Genomic DNA, 24,047 nt, shown 5'->3' with positions numbered 1-24,047 from the left:
TGTATTTTTAGTAGAGACGGGGTTTTGCCATGTTGGCCAGGCTGGTTTTGAACTCTTGTCCTCAAGTGATCCGCCCACCTCAGCCTCCCAAAGTGCTGGGATTACAGGCATGAGCCACCACACCTGGCCTATTTATTTATTTTTGCCCACAATCACTAGACTCTATTTTATTTTTTCTTTCTTTCTTTTTTTTTTTTTTGATCAAGCACTTCTTTTTTTTTTTCTTCTTCTTTTTTTTAATTTTATTATTATTATACTTTAAGTTTTAGGGTACATGTGCACAATGTGCAGGTTAGTTACATATGTACACATGTGCCATGCTGGTGTGCTGCACCCATTAACTCGTCATTTAGCATTAGGTGTGTCTCCTAATGCTATCCCTCCCCCCTCCCCCCACCCCACAACAGTCCCCAGAGTGTGATGTTCCCCTTCCTGTGTCCGTGTGTTCTCATTGTTCAATTCCCACCTATGAGTGAGAACATGCAGTGTTTGGTTTTTTGTCCTTGCGATAGTTTACTGAGAAAGCACTTCTTTTTATGACTAAATAATATTCCATTGGATGGCTCTACCACATTTTGTTTATTCGTTCATCAACTGATGGACATTTAATTTGTTTCCACTTTTTGGCTGCTAAATAGTGCTGCCATCAACACTTGTGTACAAGTGCTCATTTAAACACCTATTTTCAATTCTTTTGGGTATATACCCAGGAGTAGAATTGTTGGGTCATATGGTAGTTCTATATTTAATTTATCAAGGAACTGCCAAACTGTTTTCTACAGTGGCTGCACCATTTTACACTTACATTACCATATACATTACATAAGAGTTTCAACCTCTCCACATTTTTGCTAACATTTGTCATCTTCTTCTTCTTTTTTTTTTTTTTTAGTATAACCACCCTTGTCAGTATGAGTGGTAGATATATTTGAGGCATATGCTTAGTTTAAATGATTCCTCTCTGTAAGTGCCTTACTACCATCTGTAGAAGGTGGCTCCCACAGTTATTTACACACAATGTGATGCTGACCTCTGGTCATAGTTGATTGGATCAGGGATGGATTCCTGAGCCAATTTGGGCCAAATATTTTTTTCCACGGGAGTCTGTATTTGAATAGGGGTTTGGTGGATAGACCTGGTTCATATGGCTAAAATATGAACTTGGGAGCTGTGGGTAAGTATCTTTGCCCCCTCATGTGAGCAGATCAGCAGAGGGAACTCCTCAGGAAAAAGATGAACACAAATACTCAAGAGAGAAAAGGAAATGAAAGATGGACAGAGCACACATCCCCCTGAGTTCTGACAGTTTGCAAATTCCCAGTTCTAGTCCTTCCTTAAGCCTGACTGCATTCTTGTTTTAGGGCCTATAACTTGCCCTTTTACCCTATTGTGGTTAAATCAATGCCAGGGAATTTCTGTTTCTTGAAAACACCAGGGCAACAACTCGTTGCTACTCACAACCTACTTAAGAAGGCCCTGAAACTGTTGGTCAAAGCACAAGAACTATAAGGATGCTTTCATTTTTTTGCCCTAAAAATTATTTCTTGTGACCTCACCGGCCTTGCCTCTGCCCACCAACCCAGTGTAATTTGGAGGCAAATTCAGTATATTAACATCATCCAATATTCATGAGGCATCCTCAAGGGCAGGGTGGTCAGCACTTTGCCACCACCTTGATGTGTCTCTTGGCATCTGTTCTAGATTTTTTCCCCCTAATAGCAGAACTCTTTCGTTTGGCTCACCAAGTGTCATGTTTTCTTGTTTCAGTTATCATTGTAAAATTTCCCACTCTTACAGAGAGCTCTTCAAGGGCAGGAAGGCAACACAGTTTAGAGGAAGGACATTTAACTGGAATTTCTGAAGAACCAAATTCTGCTCCTGTTCCTGCCACTAACTTTGCTCTGTAATGCTGAGTAAATCATGAGACTCTATCTGTTTTCCCATCTGTGGAAGTGGGAGAGAAAAATAATACTTTCTCTGCCTACTTCACAGAGATGCAAGTTAAAATTAGGTCATGGATATGAACATTCTATGAAGCAAAAATATATAAATTGCTTTATCCATAATGGCAATGAACCCCTTTGTTTTCTATCCCACTCCCAGACATCAAGTTCAAGGGCCTCACTCAAAAATTACTTGAATTTAACTCTGGTTGATTAAAAAAAAAAGAAAGTGCCCCTGTCTCTTCATCCATTTTTCTCGAACACTGATAAACACTTTTTAAAATTACAAAAAAAGAAAACAAGAGACACAGATCCTGTTCTGTTCTAAGGCAAGTGAATTTCTTGCCATTTCTTTTTTTTTTTTTTTTTTTTTTTTTTTTTTTTTTTTTTTTGAGATGGAGTCTTGCTCTATCACCCAGGCAGGAGTGGAGTGATGCAATCTTGGCTCACCGCAACCTCCACTTCCCAGGTTCAAGCGATTCTCCTGCCTCAGCCTCTCTAGTGGCTGGGATTACAGGTGTGCGCCACCACGCCTGGCTAATTTTTTTATTTTTAGTAGAGACGGGGTTTTGCCATGTTGGCCAGGCTGGTCTCGAACTCCTGGGCTCAAGCCATCTGCCCACCTCGGCCTCCCAAAGTGCTGAGATCACAGGCATGAGCCATTGTGCCAGGCCTATTGCCATTTCTTAATGGCTGTATTTATTTACCTGTAACCTCGCATGCTATTTCCTAACACGCCTCCATCATGCATATTGCTCATTAACAGTGGTTCGCAAATTTGTCTGCACAGTGAGGAGCTTCGAGAATTCTGATGCCTGTGTCCCACCCCTAGAGATTGTGATGTAATTGGTCTGGGCCATGGCCTTTGGAAGTTTTAAAAGCTCCCTAAGTGGTTCAAATGTATAGCCAAGTTTGGGAGTCACTGTCTTTAGGGTTCTTCTCTGTTAACAGATCTGATTCTCATCTTCTTTGGGTTAATTCCCAACTAGGCTCTCACCTGAAGCATTTCCCTTATAAATTGCTGTAAGGAAACAACAGAGGAGATTAATCTTAAATTCATCTTTTCTTCCTACTGTAATTGCCTTGGTCTTCATCACGTTAATTGAAATCCCTTTTGATAAATGCAGTGAAGCCATTAATGGAGGCTTCACTTATCTGCATGCACATTTCCTGTTCTGCTGTGTCTTCCCGCCAACAATTTAGTTATGGTTTGCATACCTCTTTTTTTTTTTCTTTTCTTTTCCAATTCAAATGGGCTCTCGCTGTACCTGAGTGGCTGGCTAGGTCTAATTGCTATCTTCACTTCTGTTTGGGTAAAATTTTCCTTTCTCCACTTAGGTCATCTCCACCTTTGGGATCTGGCCAGCCAGCTCGATCAGCTTGTCCCAAGGATTGCTTGGGCTACACCTTAGACTGAGACATCTCATAATTTGGAGCTAGACTTGGTAAAGCCATTCTGCACTTCTGTTGTTTATCCATTCCTGGCTGACTGGGGGCCAGAGGAAATCTGCTGTTGATGTGGTAATATAAGCAAACCCTCTTAGCGATCCATGGATGGCTGTGGTTGACCCCACATTGGCTTCAGTCAGGAGCTAGGGCAGATTCAAACCCAAGCACACATTCCTTTGGGCCTTTTGAGCCACCCCCTGCCCTAAGGGATTGTGTGAGCTTCATCTCAACATGGGTCTGAATTCCTAAGTAAAAACTAGGACTGCTGTTTCACCCAGGCCATCCTCCCTACACGCAATGAGTCACTGTCTATCATCTGCCTTGGCCCTCCAGGTTTATAACACTATCTGATTTCCAGGGACTGGAAAGTCGGGGGGGATGATAGAAGAATAGAGGCTTTCAGTTCAGCAAACATTACTGAGTCCTGGGCTGTTTCAGGCCATATGGTGCCATGGCCCCATGACTGTCCTCATTCCTTCTCCTTTCCTCTCCTTGTCATTCACTCCCTCCTCCATTGGCTAGAGCCAGAGCACAATCGCAACCAAGGGTGAGAACTCCAACGCACCTGTACCATCAACAAAGGGCCAAAAATCATTCCCCCCTCTCTCTTTTTAAGAACTTCTTAATTCTTTTAGTTGTTTAAGTTATTTTATTCTCTCTCTCTTTCCCTGAAGAAAGCAGTTTTTACATTAAAATATATTTTGAGGTATTTCAAAGAAATTTACCATTACTTACTTTCTTTTTAAATTTTTATTTTTTATTTTGGTGGGTACATAGCAGGTGTATATATTTACAGGGTACATGAGCTACTTTGATACAGTCATGCAATGTGTAATAATCACATCAGGGTAAGCAGGGTATCCATCCCCTCAAGCATTTATCCTTTATGTTACAGACAATCCGATTATAATCTTTTTGTGATTTTAAAATGTACAATTAAATTATTTTTGACTATAGTCGACCTGTTGTGCTAGCAAACAGTAGGTCTTTATTCATTCTTTCTATTTTGTACCCATTAACCATCTCCACTTCCCCTTGACCCCCAACTACCCCTTCCAGCCTCTGGTAACCACGCTTCTGCTCTCTATCTCCATGAGTTCATTTATTTTAATTTATAGCTCCCATAAATATGTGAGAACATATGAAGTTTGTCTTTCTGTGCCTGACAATTACTTTCAATGACTGGAACATACTAGCATTTTCCAACTTTACCTTTTCTTTAGGGGCCCAAGAGAAATCCACAAGGGCATATGATGCCTGAGGCCACAGATTGGGTCCAACAAAGGTCTCTTATCTTATGTATTATTAATGCCATATCATGATGAATAATAACTGAACCTATTGAGCACTCTTACTACGTGCTGGACGCTATGCTAAGCCCTTTTCATAATTTATTTTAGTGACTCCTTGCTCTACCTTATGAGGGGGGTATTATTTATTATCTCTATTTTATATAGGAGGAACTGAAGCTTAGGGAATTGAAAGCTTACCCCTCTAGTAAATGGAAGGGCTAGAACTCAGACCTAATCTGACTACTGAAAATTCTTAATCTCTATAGTTTTCTGAGATGATCTCCTTTTAGGAAAATGTTGTCTTTAAATCTCAATAACAAAGCTTTCTCTGATTTTGAAAAGTGAGGCCTGTATAATTATTGGGTTATAAATATAAGGGATCAAGAGTTTCATGCACTTAATAGTCACTTGAAAAATAATTATCCATGGGTTGATTGACAAACAGCATTTTGTGCATTCAGATTCTGGATAGGGTTCTAGATTTTAGGAAATGATGGAGGGGAGGCCAATTTGGCTTCCTGGGGGTTCATACAGAGGCCCTCTTCAGCCACACCTGTGCCCTGTTGTTGCACATTCCAAGCCTACTCTAAAAGGCTTCCTTACTTCACAGAGATCTAATATAAAAGTGATAGAGCTGGCTGACAAGGCTGAGGAAGGCTTTTGAAGGAAAAGACAGCAATTTCAGAAAATGAACCCTGTGGTTTAGAAAGAAATCAACCGAACTTATGATCTGAGCTCATTTTGTTCTGTTCTATTAAAGAAAAAGAAAAAGAGGAAGAAAGAGAAAAAAATTGCTCTATCACAAAGAAAACAATTTCCTTAAACCTGGTGAATTACAGTCTATCTATGGAGCCTGTATCCCACTGAGATACCTAGACTTTCAGAGCCAAAAAAGGACATTTAAAGAAAGCTTTTTCATCTGAGTCCTGAATTTCACAAAAAGGAAACTGAGGCTCCAAAAGAGTCTGGAACCACACCACTAGTTAGTGGAAACTCTCAGTTTTCCTCCCTTTTTTTTATCTTACCCCTTCTTCTTACTTTTGCTTTTTGAATGACAGGATATTCACAGGCCACTGAAAGAAAAAATAAGAATAATTTCTGGTTCTTCAAGAAAGGTCAGTGAGAGCTCTAAAACTTCTAGAAAGAAGAGAGTCAAATTATTTAATCTAATTTCAGGAAACACCTTGATTTTATTAGCTGAGGGACTGAGTAAGGAGGCAAATCAAGATTTATTACTGATTTCCATGAAAAAAAGAGGAAAATGAATATTGGCTTAATGAGGGTTTGGGTCTATAATTCAATTCCTCACTTCTAGAGAAACAACTCACAGAAAAATTTTAATAGATCCTATCAGTGAACTCTTGAGCTAGTAAGGGAAGGAGTCACCTGTCATTTCTCCAGGGAACCCTGGGTTCAAAGTTGCTTCTGTAGTATGGAAGTCCAGAAAAGAAGCAATCAATTGGAATTTCATTGGTCCAGAAAGCATGCCAAAAAAAGTGTTGTTGCTTCATCAGACCAGGTAACTAAACTTACAGGAAAAATTCCTAACAAAGACGTAGCCAGTGATAGTAACATTAATTCCAGGGGAAGAGTTTGGAGGTGAGATGGACAGAAAGAAGGAAGGCAGAGCTGTATGAATTCATTAAGTATTTATTGAGTGCCAACTATGTAGTAGACACCAAGAGATAAATAAAACCAGCTCTGTCCCTGGAAATGCTTGCAGATGAGTAGGAACTAGCAACCATGAAGGACTTTGTTCCCAGGATCCGGACACCAATATGCAAAACAATCCAGCATCCCCAGCAGCTCATTTCCATTCTTAGACTCTTGTTCTGTTACATTTATTAGGCAGTGTACCTAACTCCTGTGGGCTACAAAACTCCCCAACTAATTAGCAATGCACAGATGTTAACCTAGCAGCTGGGTGCTAGACAAGGCATACATATCCAGCCAAAGTCTGAGGATGCTTAAAAGAAAAAAGAGAAATTCAGCGTCAACTGAGCATCCAGTTCTCTTTCCCAGATGTCATCAGTGCAAATAGGCAGCAGGTCTTGCCCCAGCCATGATCAGAAATTCAGCTCTTGAAGGCTACTTCACTCTATCAAGACTTCAGCTGTTGAGGAAAGGGACTGCTTACTTGTGTTTGAAAAAAAAACAAAACATTATCCATCATGGGATCCAATCCAGGCCAGTGCCAGTTGGATCAATCAACCTTTTAAAAATCTTTTCAGGATAAATATACAGCTACAGTCATGAATTAAAGATGTGAGGGAGAGAAAAATAGTACACAGCTTATAGTGGTTAACAATGGGTTTAAAACCAAAGTGTGACGCTGCATTAATCTTCTGTTTGAGGCCTAATAGGAATTGAGTAAAATTTGTTTTAACCATTTCTATTCTGACAAACATCAAAGATTCTCGAGTTTTGTGGAAGATAAGGAGGAGAATGACTTCAGTGGGGAAAGGAGAGGTAGGTGTGGCTAACTTAAAAAAAAAACACAGAATTTTCTACCAAAGCTGTATATCTGATTGCTGAATATTAAATAATATTATTATTACAATATTAATATTACTGGCCAATTTTATTCATCCCCTTACAGGTATATTTCCGAGTCATGAGTTCTTGTGTACATATAAGTATAGAAGAGACAAACAGTGACACTCATCGCAATTAGGGTAGCTCTGTGATTCCCTAAGTGAATTACTCACTGTTCTTCTGTATTTTTACAGGTAGAGTTATGCCAAAGATTTCAGGAAACAGACTGGGAAGCAGGGCCAGCTTCATAGGCCTGTGACTAATGCAGTCACACAGGGCTCCACACTAAAAAGGGGCCCACAGAGGGCAATAGTGTAACACAAGCCAATCCCCACTGATGCAACTCTTGACATTTAGTGCTCTGCATTACCACCTTCAAATTCTTAGTAATTTTGTCTTTGAGTTTGTATTCAGTAAGTGAAGCTCAATGGAACAATGAAGCGTGTGCCTGGGGTCTTGAAACCTTGACTATCCTGGTTTCCTAGGACTTCTCATCTCCCCAGGATGGGTTACTGACAGTCTGCCCTCTGTTTCCTGGCGTACCGGGCCACACCCAGCCTCCCTTTCCCACCTGGCCTCCCCGCTACCCTAGCCCTGTGATTGCTGTCACTGTCCACCTGGGGTGACAGCCAGGTTGCATTAGTGGGGGGTGCCTGTGTTCCACTGTTGCCCTCTATTCCTGGCAGGGGCCTGGGCACAGGCATGGGGAAGGTTGGGTATGCGCCCCCTGGCACGTCAGGGTAGAGCAAGGTAGCAGCGATCCCTGTCCTGGGCTGGCACTGCCACAGTGCATTTGGCTGGTGACTTGATGGAGCCCTCTCACCCATCCCTTATTCAAGTACCTGCTGCATCCTGGCATGGAAGCTGTAGTCTCTTAAGGAATCACCTATTGACCCTGGGTTGGGAGAGTGGGCCTATGGGAAGGAGGAGATTGAGTTTCTTGCCCCAGCTAGGGCCCTACATTTTCATTTTGCAATGGACTGTCTTGGCAAGTGGCCAATTTCAAAGATTAGGGATGAGGCAGGGTGGAGAAAAGCCTACTTCTTGATTAATACAATTTTTGTATGACATCTAGCTTGGTACATAAGCTATTGGTAAATAGAAGAATGGAAAATAAGTTCTTGCTCTTGAGGAGCTTAAATCTAGTTGAAAATAGATAAAATCAAAATAGATGAAACAATGAGATTTCACAAAGGAGGTAGAATGGAAGAGGGGTCTTGAAAGTAGGATTTAGTTGTGGAGGGAAGGGAGAAAAAGAGACCTGGTTAATGCACTGCAAAATAGAGGGCTAGGCTGACTTGATGATCGTGGCATATTTTTTGGTTCAAGGCCAATTACAGCATGCTAGAGGGGAGGGTGATCCTGGTAGGAGGGGGAGCTGTAGGAACAGGCATGGCGGATGTGAACCACTGAGGACAGTGACTGGGCGGAATAAAGAGTGTGGGCCTAAGGTGGGCGATAGGCTGCATGGAGCCAAATCACAGATGGCAGAGAAGAGAAAATGGGTTCAGAGCCTCCCAGCTGTGTACACTGAGGTACAGCAGGCTGCTACTCTACACCACAGCAGGCCACTCAAAGCTCTCCTTCTGAGACCAGCAAAGAAGGAACGAAAGAAATTGACCTTGTGCTTAAGCAAACCATGGAGTGAAGTAAAGTTTCACAGTGAGCTCAATGATGAGGGGGAAAAGCAAATATTCTCTGGTGAAGGTTGACTTAATTAGCCGTTTTAATAATTCATGAGTCTTTAAAATGTTTGCCAGAAGATTCAGAGCTCAGATTCTGCTTCTGGCGTTGAGCTCAGGGTTTTCTCTATCACAAATTGTGCTGGCTCATGCAACAGTGGCAGCAGCACGCCTGGGAATGTGAGGCCCTTGCTCGGATAAACTGTGGACAGCTTTTATCCCTTGAGACTTCAAACCTTTCTGAGAATCTGATGAAAGTACTGAAATTTTATCCTACGAAAAATACATGTATGTACAAATTCAGGGCTTTGGAGACTCCCCTGAGGTTTGCTTTTGAACCCTAGCCTAAGAATCTCTGATTTAGGACCATCTTTAAGGGCTCTAACATTCTATGATTCTTTTTTTAACCTACCCACAAGCCAGCCTGTCAAGATGTCACCTGAAAATGCAGTGATTTTTTGGGCTTGCAGGCAAACAGCCTCATGTAGATGTTTGCAAAGTGAGAAATGCATAATGCAATATTTGTTCATTAGGATGAAGCAATGTTAATGCAGAAGAGAACTGAATGAATCAAAAGCCATGAGTCAGCTGCTTCCCTAGCAGGTGGCGGGGAGGGAGGCAGCCTGCTGAAGCTGAGGGGGTGGGCTCTAGAGTCAGACAGCCTGGGGCCCTCAAATCCCAGCCAAGGTACTTTCTGGCTGTAGCTTGGGGGAGCGATTCAATCTCTCTTAGTCTCGGTTTCCTCATTTGTAAAACAGAGCTAATAAGATGTACTCTATATCTCTATGTTTTGAGGATGAACTAAGCCGAACTGTAAATCCTCATGCATAGTGCCTAGGCTACAGTAGTGCTCAGTAAAGGCACTTAACTCCCTTAATCTCACCCAGAAGGAGGAGGGGTGCTGTGAATTTGGGGACACTGTGTTGATTTAATGTTGGGGGAGGAAACAGACTCAGGAGTGGCTTGGCACTCTCTCAGAACTCCTGGATATATACCCTCTCCTCTTCCCTCATCCCCCCAAAAGCTTCCCCTCTGGGAATGTGGGCTGGCTCAGGAAGCTAAAGAAGCACCCCCTGTTAACAGCCTTGTTTTTCTCCCCTCCTCAGCTGCTCAGGAGTGTGGAGCCTGCAGGAAACAATGGCAGGAGATCTGGGCTTTTTCTGGCTGCAGGCCTGACTGCAGCAGAGAAGGTAACAGAGAAGGAAAGAGAGAGGAAGAAAGAGTGAGAGAGAGAGACTGGCTTCTCCTCCATTTCTCAAGCAAGCCTTGCCAGCACCGCCCACCGTGGAGCTGCGGCTGGTCCTGGGGCGAATGCAGAGCTGAGCAGCATACAGCTCCTGCTCTCAAAGACCTGGCAACTCTGACATGGAAGTAAGGCTTGCCCAAGAGAGGAGAGTGACTAAGGGCTGCACTGCTGGATGCCTCCAGACCCTTCGATAAGGGGTCTGGGAGGGCAGGGGGCAGACAGTGAGGGCAGGATGGTAGAAAATGTGTTGACTCAGTGCCAGACCCTGAACTAGGCACTTGACATGCACTAACTCTCATTCTCACAGCAACACTCCAAGATAGATGCTATTATCCTGTAAAGTACAGGCGAGGAAACTGAAGCTCAGAGAAGCCAAGTGACTCCCTCAAAGGCAACAGTTATTAAGTGGTGCCATAGGATTCAAACCAGGTCTGCCTGTCTATGAAATACTTTTTTCCCCATTCCCCATACAAGCTTAACTAGGTGAATACAGGGAGCCTCCATAGTCCTAAAACTCTGGGTCCTGTGAAGCCATTACCGAGCTACATGCAACGCTATGCAGAGTCCTGGCTCGGTAAATATTTGCCCCATGAATGGGAAGGAGAGAATGTGCCTTTCTTGGTTCTAGGCAGCTCTTGGAAGTTCACGTGCACTGTTTACCTTTCCTCCCACATTCCCCCAAGAGGAATCATCATCCCTCCCTTCCCTCAACTGAAAACAAGGCAGAGTGGAATGACGTGAAGTGCTCGGCTTAAATAGAGCCTATCTCAGACTTGCCCCACATGGCCACAGGTCTCCTTTCAAACAGCAACCTCAGTCAGAGAATCCCACTTAAGAAAAATCTCTCACATCGTTTAATAAGGCAGACTTGGGAGGAGTAAATGTTTTAAGGCCTTTGCAGCCCCGGTGTTGAGAAAGATTGCATGTGTTCAAGCTCCTACAAGGGAAAGCATTTTGGATTTCCTGGGACAGCCGACATCCCAGAGGCTGAGAGTGGATCAGGGGGAGGAAGGTCTGCAGCAGGCAGCAGCAGGGAGGCTTCAGCCCAGCTTGGGCCTCTGCCGAGGAGAAACCCTGCTGTCCTAGGGAATTTGCTGAGCAGAGTCTCTTGGCCTGATTTGTAGCTAGTGACGTGAATGCATTATCCAAAGCTGGGTGCCAAGCAGAGAGCAGAATGAGACCACCTCTCCATTCATTTCCAGCCATTGATTCGATGATGTTGATGAACTGTGATTTTTAAATGGAAAGGGCTTTGTCATCATGATTTTTCAATACAATTCTAGCATGGCTCTTTATTTTCTAACCAAGGCCCTGGGCATCCTATTTAACATGTTGGGTATGACATGTTCCCCAGGGTCAGCTTTTTATTTCATTGCCATTTTAAGGGTATCAGAATATGTGCTAAGAATTTACATTTGAATAATAGATTTCTGGATGGTAAAATCCTATTATTTACATTTAGTAAAGTCCCTTTGGATAGTAAGAACCAGCACAATATTAATTTTTCTTGCTGTCACTTAACAATATAAATTGGTTTTGTGTAAGAATGAGGTGCTTATTGGATTGAATTTAGGAAATTGGTAAAACAAATTTGACTTCAGTGGGTTTGAATGATTACAATGCAATAAACATATAAAGGCTAGGAAGCTAATTTATCATTGTGTTTTGTTTTATTTATTTGAAACTCCATCTTTGGTATAAACAGGCTTTATTAAAGATTATGAATTCAATTTCCAAATGAAGTGTAAATGGCTTTCTATAGAGAGATTACTTGATTTGTTGTTTTCCTGAATAAAACATGTTTTTGCACAGTGGGATTATGTAGCCTATATATTAATATTGGAGGATTATTCTGTTGTGCTTGGCATCTATGATGTGCAATGTTTGATTTGTTCTCTGATCTATTTGTCTTCACTCTCTTTAATAAACACTGAGACAGAATGCATAACCTCTTAAGACCTGCACTTCAATGAATCATAAAAGAATGTCTGTCTGTGTAGCAGTTTATCATTGGAATAATAATTCTGGTTCCCTTTAAAAATGTTACAGTGACTGCTCTTCAAAATAGACTGCAGAGAAAAGCATGAGAGATGCTGTGGGTCACTGATGGGGAATCATAATTGACCTCAGCTTTTGTCGAATGGTAACAGGCTTTCAGGGTATTAGATCATCACATACCACAGAACTACAAATATACTGCCCTCAAAGTCAGGGGGAAATTTTCCATTTTCAATTTATAAAACTACATAGCACAGACTGGTATAAAGAGGCAGCTTGTTGGTTGGGCTGGAACCTCCAGGAAGATAGCCCTTCAGGAGCCTGCCATATTGTAAAAACCTGTTCAACTTCAATCCTTTTGCAAAAGGATTGTGTAACTTTCACAGCCCAGTGCTTACTGGAATAAAGGCATACTGCACAAGTGAAATCACTGAAAAAGGGATCAATACCTAGATGAAATATCTCAGAATGCTGGGGCTGGGAAGAACCTTGGGAGGCCATCTATTTTAACTCCCTCAAGGCTAGTTGGCATATTTTAATGTATTAAAACTAATGTCTAAAGAGCTACAAAAGCTAACTGTCTGAAGAATTAAGATTCTACCTCTCTTCAGGAAACTCCATTTGTTGTTGTTACTGTTTCTTTTATTTTACTGCATCATAAAACTTCAGAATGAAGGATACAAAGTTCTAGTGGAGAGGAAGTCATTAGCCAACATCATTATTGGAAGAAATGATTTTGTACTGTTAATGACAGTATTATGTTCACTCCATAATTCAATAACTGTGAAGCAGTCTCCAATGAAGAGATGTGGATATCTCTGTTCAAACTAAACTGGGCCACAGGCCAAACTGACCAAATGTATTGTTTTTAAGATTTTAAGTTGACTCAATAAATTCCAAAGTCTAGCAATGAAATAAAAATAGTTAAATGATTCACTCATAAGTGTGTAGCAGCCTCAGGAATGAGTTGGTCTACACTAGTACAATTAAAGTAAATCAAACTCCAATCTTAAGGGAACCTGCCCCTTGACGTAGAGGAGGAAGAAAAGACTGGAGGGCCACCAGGCCTACTTTCATGTCCTCACTTCAAACCCTAAACTATGTCTCCTCTTCTTAAACTCCTAGAATATCTCATTTTGTCATTTTCTACCTCCCAATGGAAAATAATTCTCTTTTCCAAGATGCTTCAGACAATCCTAAAGCTCAGCCACTTGTGATCACATCCACAATAAGATATTATACGCACCCCAACCTTGCTTTACTTCTTACTGGGCTGAATGTTCTGGTTGTCTTCCTTGTCTTTCTATCTTCCAGGTGCCCATCATGGTACCTAGTATATAGTAGGTATTCAACTTTTCTTATTGCTGATTGTTTGTTAACACAATTTTAGTGGGATCTGCAAATTCCATATGAACCCATACTTTAGTTTGCCTCTCAGCAGTAAACCTGCTTTCTCAACTCCAATCTCTATTTTCTGTCTGACAAGAATTATTTCTGTCTGCAGCCCATTATATTCTAGAAACCACAGATTTTTTTTTTTTTTTTTTTTTTTTTTTGAGACAAAGTCTCACTCTGTTGTCCAGGCTGGAGTGCAGTGGCACGATCTCGGCTCACTGCAACCTCTGCCTCCTGGGTTCAAGCGATTCTCCTGCCTCAGTCTCCCGAGTAGCTGGGATTACAGGCACGGGCCACCATGCCTGGCTAATTTTTTGTATTTTTAGTAGAGAGAGCATTTCACCACGTTGGCCATGCTGGTCTCGAACTCCTGACCTCAGGTGATCCACCCGCCTCAGCCTCCCGAAGTGGCGGGATTACAGACGTGAGCCACTGCGCCTGGCCTACAAACCACAGGTTTAAATCTTGCCTTCGGAAAGTTTTTAGTCATAAAAGTTTTAGACATCAGAAAGAATTTCGAATTCCTGACCTCAAGTGATCCACCTGCCTCAGCCTCCCAAAGTGCTGGGAATACAGGTGTGAGCCACCACACCTGGCCTCTATTTGTTTCTTTGTTCTCCTAGTGCCTACTTCAGTGTTGGGCACTAGCAGGTACTGAAGAACCTGTGATTAATGAATGAGTGAATGAGAAAACAAGTACTCCCAAGCAGAAAAGCACACTGTTTGAGTCTGGGATTCAGGCAGAAATTAGTTAGAAATCTGAGGCCTACTAGCTGTGTGACATTGGGCAAATTATGTAAATCCTTTTTGCCTTAGCTACTCCATCTGTAAACTTGAATGGTTGCAGAACTGCCCCTATAAGTCACATGGGGATTCAATGTGACACTAAATGTAAAATGCTTAGCACAGTTCCAACAACATAGTGGATACAGTGTTTGAAAAAGTTAGTTACTATTAGCATAATGAGAAGTGATTAAAAATGCACACAGCCTGGGCATGGTGGCTCACGCCTGTAATCCCAGCATTTTAGGAGGCAGAGGCAGATCGCTTGAACCCAGAAGTTTGAGCGGCAGGTGAAAGGTTGAGATGGTCAGGGCCCGGACAAAAGAAAAGCATGGACCCTCAGCCAGCAGCATGCAATTATAACTGCCTTTGGCAGAGAGACCAGAAGTTTGAGATCAGTCTGTACAACATGGCGAAACCCCGTCTCTACTACAAATACAAAAAATTAGCCGGATGTGGTATTGCACTCCTGTAGTCCCAGCTACTCAGGAGGCTGAGGTGGGAGAATCATCTGAGCCCAGGAGGTCAAGGATACAGTGAACCAAGATCCAAGATTATGCCATTGTACTCCAGCCTGGGCAACTGGAGTAAGACCCTGTCTCAAGAAACAACAACAACAACAAAATAATAAAAACACACACGAAGAGGTGATAAGGGTGGAAGATGGGGGTTACCGCAGTTGCTATGGCTGGGTTAGAGAATCAGCAGAATTTTAAAGAGGGTAGCAATGGGAGTCAGTCATTCATATGATATAGGAGACCAGCTTGGAGCCAGGGAAATGGGTTCTAGATCTGACTCTTTCTCCAACTATGCAGGATCTTGGGCAAATCACCCCAACTTTAGGGTCTTAATTTCCTCATTAGAGGGTTGCACTAAATGACCTCTGAAATCTCTTCCCACTGAAACGATCTATAACTTGAGGGAAAGGATTCCTAGCAGCGTGCATGTGCTGCTTTTAGTGAGGGTGAGAGAGAGAGAGAGAGGCAGAAAGAGAAAGATCACAGGCAGGCCAATTTTCTAAATTTAATCCAACGAGCACCTGGTTCTTAAACAAAACCAATTCATATTGTTAAGTGACAGCAAGAAAAGTTAATATTATGCTGGTTCTTACTATCCAAAGGGACTTTACTAATCTCCTTTAAATCAAGAGATCATGTGACAGACTTGCCATCTGAGGCCCAGAGAGGCTATGCGGGGCTTATTCCAGATGACAGAGCTAGTTGGTGGTGATGTGGATGCAAATCCCTACTTCCTGAGTAGTCCCTGTGCAACAAGGGGTCCCCTATACAATGTCAAGTGACTCGGAGACAGAAGAGAGCACAGCCCATGAGGTGCTTGCTGGGGAGGGGAAACAGAACGCAGGGCTTGCTGGAGATAACTTCACTTGACACAGAAGGACGCTGCTGAAGGAGAGCTTTTGGTCACAACTAAAAGTTTTAATACGATAAAGTTAACTAAGAATCACTGGCAAGTAAAATTATTCCAGTTTTATTTACTACTAAGAGACACAGTAAACCTAGACCAAATATATTCAGACAAGATTGGGTGCATTCAGGGTGGTATGGCTGTATATAAGACAAAATATATTCAAATAAAGAAACTTGAACACAAGAGAAAATTAACATGGGTACAAACAGTCCAAATAATAGTCTAATGGGTTTGTATGAATATTGGAATGGGGAACTGGGGCAATGGCTGTCACTCTTTTTCTCTCCTGACCTTGGGGTCTCCCTAAGGAGACCAAGTATTGAACTCTTAGAATAAAGCAAAGCTCCTGTTCTTTCCAAGGCTTCTCTGCCTCCCAGAAAGGCGGCACAAAGCAGCAGCAACACCAGCAGCAGCAGCAAGTGTAAGGATCAGAGTGGGGGCTGTGGGAAGATGTGGTCTCTCTGCCAAAGGCAGTTATAATTGCATCCTGCTGGCTGAGGGTCCATGCTTTTCTTTTGTCCAGGCCCTGCCCATCTCAACCTTTCACCTGCCGCTTCCCAGTGGGCTTTATGATATTATCCATATTCCAGTTTGATCCAGTGCTCACTTTTTACACCCCCAAATATGACACCTTGGGGAAGAACTGAAGGAGCTACACAGAGATGGCATGAAGAATTGAGTGCTGAGAGCAAGGGTTCAGGATAAAGGCTGTATTGAGAGGAAATGTTTCTGAAGGCCTAGGGAGAGCCATTGAAGTGTTTATGGACAGGATGAGTGCAAAATATATAAAATGGTGACTTTTTTAAAGTTTAGAATGAAAAAAAAAAAGGATGCATTAAAAGTCTCTGAGGATCCTTGAATAAAATGCTGATCCTGGGTCCAAGCAGAGAAAGTACAAGGTGAGTCTGGAACATTTTGTGCCAGAAAGCAAGAAAGTACCCAAAAATGGATGGAGAAATATCAAAAAGATAAAAGGACACAGGAGCGGCTTGAATAGTCCATACTGGCCAAATATGAGACAACTTGAGCACCAAAAATTAATGTGAATGTAACTGATTATAATACACTGAATTAGAAAAAAAAATTCTGCCAGTCAATAGTAATGCTTACAACAAGAGAGAAAGGGAAAAGAAAGTACTTCGTTACAAAAAGAATGCTAGCTAGTACATGCAGAAGGGATTACAGAATAGAAAACCCATAATTTTTCAACCTACAATGTAATTATTGATTTAGACAAGGATCATCAATGGGTGATAAAATCACTAGGTAAAGATTTGGGGAAACAGAATATTCACACAAAGACAGAGCTTTGCCCCACAGATGACTTTATAAGATGACTTAATTAAAGCGGGAAATGTAGCTTTACAATGGTGATGTCTGGTAAATGTCATCATAACTAAGTGATCAAATATATCATCACTAATAGTGGAACAATTGCTATTAGATGCTCTTGAGATTATGCAGTGTGAAATACACAAATATTACCTGCGAAGTATTTTTGCCAAAAGTCTTCAAGCTTAATCTTGTCAAGCCTTTAGACTAAATTGTAATTTATAGGAAATGCAGAGGTAGAGGTACAAGTTAAATGACACTATGAGGAAACAATCAGACAAATCTAAAATGTAAACATTTTAAAAGAAAACTGTCCTGAGTCTTCAAAAATATCAGTGTCATGAATAAACAAGCAAAGGTGGGAGAACTGATCTAGATTAAAGGAATTAAGAGTCTAGGTGGGGCGTGGTGACTCATGCCTGTTATCTCAGCACTTTGGGAGGCTGAGGTGAGTGGATCACTTGAGATCAGGAGTTCAAGACCAGCCTGGCCAACATGGTGAAACCCCATCTTTACTAAAAATACAAAAATAAGCTGGGCGTCATGGTGGATGCCTGTAATCCCAGCTACTCGGGAGGCTGAGGCGGGAGAATTGCTTGAACCTGGAAGGTGGAGGTTACAGTGACCGGAGATCATGCCACTGCGCTTCAGCCTGGATGACAGAGAGAGACTCCATCTCAAAAAAATGAGTTGCCTGGTGCGGTGGCTCATGCCTGTAATCCCAGCACTTTGGGAGGCCAAGGTGGGCAGATCACGAGGTCAGGAGATCGAGACCATCCCGGCTAACACAGTGAAACCCCGTCTCTACTAAAAATACAAAAAAATTAGCTGGGCGTGGTGGCATGCGCCTGTAGTCCCAGCTGCTGGGGAGGCTGAGGCAGGAGAATGGCATGAACCCGGAAGGTGGAGTGTGCAGTGAGCTGAGATCACACCACTGTGCTCCAGCCTGGGTGACAAAGCAAGACTCCGTCTCAAAAAAAAACAAAAAAAGAGTCTATTAGCTAGGTGTGGTGGCATATGCCTGTAGACCCACCTACTTGGGAGGCTGAGGCAGGAAAGTCACTTGAGCCCAGGAGTTCGAGGCTACAGTAAGCTTGGCTCATGCCACATCGCACTCCAGCCTGAGCAACAGAGCAAGGCTGTCTCTTAAATAAATAAATAAATAAAAAGTCTAAAGAGATATAACTTTGCAAAGTATGGCTCTTGTTGGATCTGAGTTAGAGAAAATAAAACAGCTATAAAAGCATTTGGGGAACAAATGGGGAAACCTAAATATAGATGAGATCTAAGATGATGTGGAATTTATTTATTTTTTTGAGACAGGGTCTCACTGTGTTGCCTAGGCTGCAGTGCAGTGGTGCGATCACAGCTCACTGCAACCTCTGCCTCCTAGGCTCAGGTGATCTTCCCATCTCAGCCTCCTAAGTAGCTGAAAATACAGGCACACACCACCATGCCTAGCTAATTTTTGTATTTTTAGTAGAGATGGGGTTTCACCATGTTGCCCAGGCTGGTCTTAAACTCCTGGGCTCAAGTGATCCATCCGCCTTGGCCTCCCAAAGTGCTGGGATTACAGGCATGAGCCGCCGTGCCCGGCTGATACGCAATTTTTTAAACAGTTTGATAACGGTGTTGTGGTTTTACAGGAGAATATCCTTGTTCTTAGGAGAAATATGCTGGAATTTGGTGCTGATGTATGATGTCTACAACTTTAAAATGATTCACTTCAAAAAAATCTGCATGTCTGTATGTGGTGTGTATGTGTATGTGTGTATAGAGAAAGGAAGAGACAGAGACAGAGAAAGTAAAGCAAATGTAACAAACATCAGCCATTGCTGAACCTAGGTGGATAGTATATGAGTGGTTAAGATACTATTTTTCAACTTTTTGTACATTTGAAATCTTTCAAATTAAATTGAAAATGAAATTTCTAAGGAAATATTTGGTCATTAAAAAGCTTATCCCTTGGCCAGGCGCAAAGGCTCATGCCTGTAATCCCAGCACTTTGGGAGGCCAAGGCAGGCAGATTACTTGAGGTCAGGAGTTTGGGTCCAACCTGGCCAACATGGCGAAATCCCATCACTACTAATAATACAAAAATTAGCCGGGCATGGTGGCGTGTGCCTGTAATCCCAGCTACTTGGGAGGCTGAGGCATGAGAATTGCTTGAACACAGAAGGCAGAGGTTGCAGTGAGCCAAGATTGTGCCACTGCACTCTAGCCTGGGCAACAGAGTGAAACTGTGTCTCAAAAAAAATAAAAAAAATTAAAAACTTACCCCTGGCCTGGTGCAGTGGCTCACACCTGTAATCCCAGCACTTTGGGAGGCCAAGACGGACGGATCACTTGAGGTCAGGAGCTCAATACCAGCCTGGCCAATATGGTGAAACCCCATCTAAAAAAAAGAAAAAAACTTACTCCTGGCAAAACATAAGCTCTTTCATTCCTAATCAATCCTGTTATTGTAAAGAAGAAAGATATATTCCCTAAGTGACTCCTATTTCCTCATACAGAGGGGAAACTAAGCTCTTCCCTTCCAGGAAAGGCTCTCTGCAGATATTCTGAAGCCACAAGAGGGGAAAATTCCCCAGCAAATATACTCTCTTTCTTGTATTGACGTGATTTCAGAGCATCAAAAATAAAAACGAATAACATGAGGGATTTACAGTGTTCAGGAATTAATCCATACCCTTCCAATCCAGCCTTAACAGGGTACTCATCTGATCCCATGCCCTCATCAAGGTGACAGCTGCCTTCTCGGACTGTCTGGTCCCTGGTTCCTGATTTCCCTTCAGAAGAGAGGTCAGTGCATCTCAAACAGAGAGCAAAAATGGCAGATGAGCTTCCAAACTGACATTGTTACCAAGAGTTCCATGGAAGATAAAATAGATAATGTGATCCTGAGCACAGAACAAAGAATATTGAAATATGGAGAAGAGAAAGAAGATGGGTAGGTAGTTTATTTGGAACATCCAAAAAATCTTTCAAAGCAGACAATGATTTATGCCAAGTTCCACAAGCAGAGCCTAGAAATACTGACTAGCTAGTTAAACGGGAATGGAAGACAGCGTGAAAAAGGACAGAGAGGTCCTCAGCAACGCCAAATTCCCAGCCTTGAGAATGGGCATCCCAATTTCTACCTGTCAAACTTGCCAAAAGATACTAAAAAAGCAAGCCAATATGAAGAAAATGAAGTTACACTTTGAGGTACCTTTGCAAAAATTCACACCTCCATATAGCCTTCCATGCTGCCAACAATACACCAAAATATCAATCACCTTGTTTCTGGAAACCATTCAGAGTGAAAGCACAACATTTTTACAGCTTAATTACTTGGTGGTTAATTGCTTTAATTCATAATTTCATGAAGCTAATATGGTCTGAACCATAAATTCTCTAAATAAGATGAGAAAAACCACAATTTAAAAATTGTATACAGAATTATTGTACAATACAAAAACCCAAAGAAGATGAAAGCTATATTTGAACAAGTATGTATTTAGCATTTTCTTTCTTTTTTTTTTTTTTTTTTTTGAGATAGAGTCTAACTCTGTTGACCAGACTGGAGTGCAGTGGCACAAACTCAGCTCACTGCAACCTCCACTGCCCGGGTTCAAGCAAATCTCTGCCTCAGCCTCCCGAGTAGCTGGGGCTACAGGCGTGCACCACCACACTTGGCTAATTTTTGTATTTTTGGTAGAGACGAGGTTTCATCATCTTGGCCAGGCTGGTCTCGAACTCCTGATCTCATGATCCACCGGACTCGGCCTCCCAAAGTGCTGGGATTACAGGCATGAGCCACCGTGCCCAGCGTATTTACCATTTTCAAATTGATTTAAATAGTAACTTCCATAAGAAGATTAGAATTGCCCTGCTGGCTACTTTCTCTGATAAAAAAAATTTTTTCATTATTTTTAAGACAACATATGCTTTGTAAACACTATCTGAATATTAAAAGCCATGTGAAAAAGGCATGTACAAAATGATAATATTTTCGTTCATTCATCTACCTATCCATTCAACAAAATGTATTTAGCATTAGCTATGTCCCAGCATCATGCCAGGTGGTAAGGGTACAGACATAAATAAGGTCCCTCAAGGAGCTCAGCCTAGTTGGGGCAACCAACCTGTAAGAAAATAGTACCATCAAGCTTTAAGGATATTTTGAGAGATAATGATTATTTCACTTTGAGTCACAAGGAGAGGCACTGGTGGAGATAGGAAGACATCACAGGGGATGTGATGCTTGGGTCAAGTATAAGCAGATGTTCAGCAGGCAGTGGAAAAGGAGGAAAAGACTTTCTAGGCAGAGGGAGCAGCACACGCAAAGATGTGGGAGTGGGAAAGTGCACAGCACATCCAGATACCTGGGAGTGGTTCAGTGTAGCTTTGGTGACAGAGTGAGGGAGGCACTTTTTAATGAGACCAGAATAGAGGAGAGGATGTCTGGGTGAAAAGATCATGTGTTCAGTTTTGGATGTGATGCCTGAGGGCCTCTAGGAGGTGTTGCCAGCAGGCATTTTCAGCACTGTCTATAGACTTGGGTAAGAGAGAAGCTCCCTTAGCCTCCTTTTAGAGGACTCTGTTCTGTCCTTCCTCCAGGTGTACTCCACACACAGGCCAAGGGGACTTCCTCACGCAGAGCCCACACACTCCTACCCCTTCTAGACTATACCAGGTCCCCAGGACCACAGAATTCCTTGTTCAAACAGCCCAGAGCCTGCTTCCAGGGCCTGTGGAGTAGGTGTAGTGTGGAGAGTGGACCTGAGGATGATGTTGACAATGGAGATGGTAATGATGATGTCTCTGTTCCTTTGTGTTTCTTTTCTCTTTCTCCACCTTTGCCCAAACTTCTACAGATCACATTCTCTAGGAAGCTCCCTACTTACCCATTAGCTTGTCACCATGTGCTTCCATGGTCTCCCACGTTCATCTTTAGCACAGCACCTTTCTAGCACCTCATAGGCTACTGGTATTTATAGAATGAGTGGTCATGGTTTCCAGAGTGACCCACCAACCACCCTGGTTTGCTTGGAACTGTCTGGTTTTAGCACTGAAAGTCTAGCATTCCAGGAAAACCTCCAGTCCTAGGCAAATCCAGGAGATTGATCACCCTTAAACTGACATCTGAAATTTTTTGAGTGAGCAAATAAATGATTGTTAATATCAAAGCTGAAGGCACCCAATTTTTCCTGTGTGTATGTGAGCAGAAACCCATTCAAGGTATCTGGGGGATTCATTTCCTTCTCTGTACTCTTCAACTCCCATCTCAGCAAAACATGACCTGGCTGGATTCCTGACCCAGCTCCGTTTTTTCCCATAATCTTGGAGGAAGGATAGTTTAACTTTCTGAACCAGGGCTCTTTATCTGAACCACAGAACAAGAAATTGATTTCAGTACTATTCTCTCAAGGCTGGTACATAACTAGTACCATTCTAGATGCATAGAAGTTGATTCAATACATAATTCAATGCCTTAGGATATTTAGGATTTATTTCTTTTATCTGTTGAGAAACACATAGGCCTTAAAATCAAGAATGCTACTGGGGGCCAGACACAGTGGTTTATGCCTCTAATCCCAGAAGTTTGGGAGGCTGAGGAGAGAGGACCTCTTGAAGCCAGGAGTTTAAGACCATCCTGGGAAACAAAGCAAGATTCTGTCTCTACAAAAAATTTTAAAAATTAGCTGGGCGCACTTTGGGAGGCCGAGGTGGGCAGATCACGAGGTCAGGAGATCGAGACCATCCTGGCTAACATGGTGAAACCCTGTCTCTACTAAAACATACAAAAAATTAGCCGGGTGTGGTGGTGGGCACCTGTAGTCCCAGCTACTCGGGAGGCTGAGGCAGGAGAATGGTGTGAACCCAGGAGGCAGAGCTTGCAGTGAGCTAAGATTGTGCCACTGCACTCCAGCCTGGGTGACAGAGCGAGACTCTGTCTCAAAAAAAAAAAAAAAAAAAAAAAAATTAGCTGGGCGCAGCGGTTTGTGCCTGCAGTTCCAGCTACTTAGGAAGCTGAGGCGGGAGGATAACTTGAGCCCAAGAGTGCGGCTATAGCAAGCTATGATTACGCCACTGTACTCCAGCCTGGGTGACGATGAGACCCTGTCTTAAAAAAAAAAAAAGCTACTGTGATTGTCCCTTTGCCCTTCACCTTGGTCATTAGCACAGATGGCTGGAGGAGGGAAGCTATGGGAAGGAAGTGTCAAAGGATAGGGCTTGTGTTATCTCTGACCTGCAAATTGAGGAAGAGGTGTGGAGAGGAAGTACATTCTCACTTTCCCAACATGGGCAAAGGCAGAGAGCTGTAAGGTTTTACCAGTCAGGACAGGAAAATTCAAGGACAACCACCTTCTTGGCCTTGGCATGTTGGTCATCACCAACCTTCTCAGTGGCAATTGCCAAAGTCAGGCAGCACTGTATGTCATGTTGTGGAAGACAAATGCTCTATAAATAAATTGACTTGAAACAGTCTCAAATACACATAAACCACAATGGCTTTAAATGTAACTCTTGACTTTTTTCTCATTTTCTTTCTCTTCTAAGAGAGGTCAGCAAGGAAAGTTCTGCAAGAGAGGCTTTACGGAAATCCAACCTAAGAAACCTGGGAGGACTTTTATGTATCTGTTTTAACAAACATATTTCACACCTAAATATTTGTTTAAAAGCTCCTGGAGGCTTTAAACTCCAGAGATGGATACATACATCTCTGAGCATGCACCTGTATTTCAGACTTAACGATGCACTTGTTATATGCTAGACATCCATCTTTTTAAAAATTCATTTTCTAGAGGAGGTGATTATTCATTTTGTCATTCAATTTCCCATCATTAAAAATTTCATGCAGTAAAATCACTGCATACTAATGGGGTACTGTGTAAAGAGAGTATTTTTAGTGACTAAGTTGAAAGAAAAGATCATTGATGGCTCTTCCATCTGAGGATTTGAGGAGTAATCAGAGACA

The 24,047-nt window shown here is 42.3% G+C and overlaps 1 long non-coding RNA gene across 1 annotated transcript in view, besides 2 other annotated features; it reads left to right on the top strand.

The window, feature by feature from the left end:
* Positions 1–10,420, top strand: part of EPCAM-DT (EPCAM divergent transcript) — a 152,670-nt gene extending 142,250 nt beyond the window's left edge. Inside the window, exons 4-5 of the long non-coding RNA NR_110208.1 lie at positions 3,282–3,388; positions 10,008–10,420. This is a non-coding gene — a long non-coding RNA (EPCAM divergent transcript). The remainder of the gene's footprint in view (positions 1–3,281; positions 3,389–10,007) is intronic.
* Positions 8,950–9,471: an enhancer, noted in NCBI's record as "H3K27ac-H3K4me1 hESC enhancer chr2:47420493-47421014 (GRCh37/hg19 assembly coordinates)". NCBI's record gives its function as "activates a minimal SCP1, AML or CMV promoter by ChIP-STARR-seq in naive H9 embryonic stem cells {active_cell/tissue: H9 hESC(naive)}" and the evidence as "EXISTENCE:reporter gene assay evidence [ECO:0000049][PMID:30033119]".
* Positions 9,472–9,993: an enhancer, noted in NCBI's record as "H3K27ac-H3K4me1 hESC enhancer chr2:47419971-47420492 (GRCh37/hg19 assembly coordinates)". NCBI's record gives its function as "activates a minimal SCP1, AML or CMV promoter by ChIP-STARR-seq in naive H9 embryonic stem cells {active_cell/tissue: H9 hESC(naive)}" and the evidence as "EXISTENCE:reporter gene assay evidence [ECO:0000049][PMID:30033119]".

Source organism: Homo sapiens, chromosome 2 (genome assembly GCF_000001405.40).
Source record: "Homo sapiens chromosome 2, GRCh38.p14 Primary Assembly".
In the NCBI taxonomy this organism is placed as follows: Eukaryota; Metazoa; Chordata; class Mammalia; order Primates; family Hominidae; genus Homo; species Homo sapiens.
Note: the sequence above shows the minus strand (reverse complement) of the source record. Positions and strands in the feature narration are given on the sequence as shown.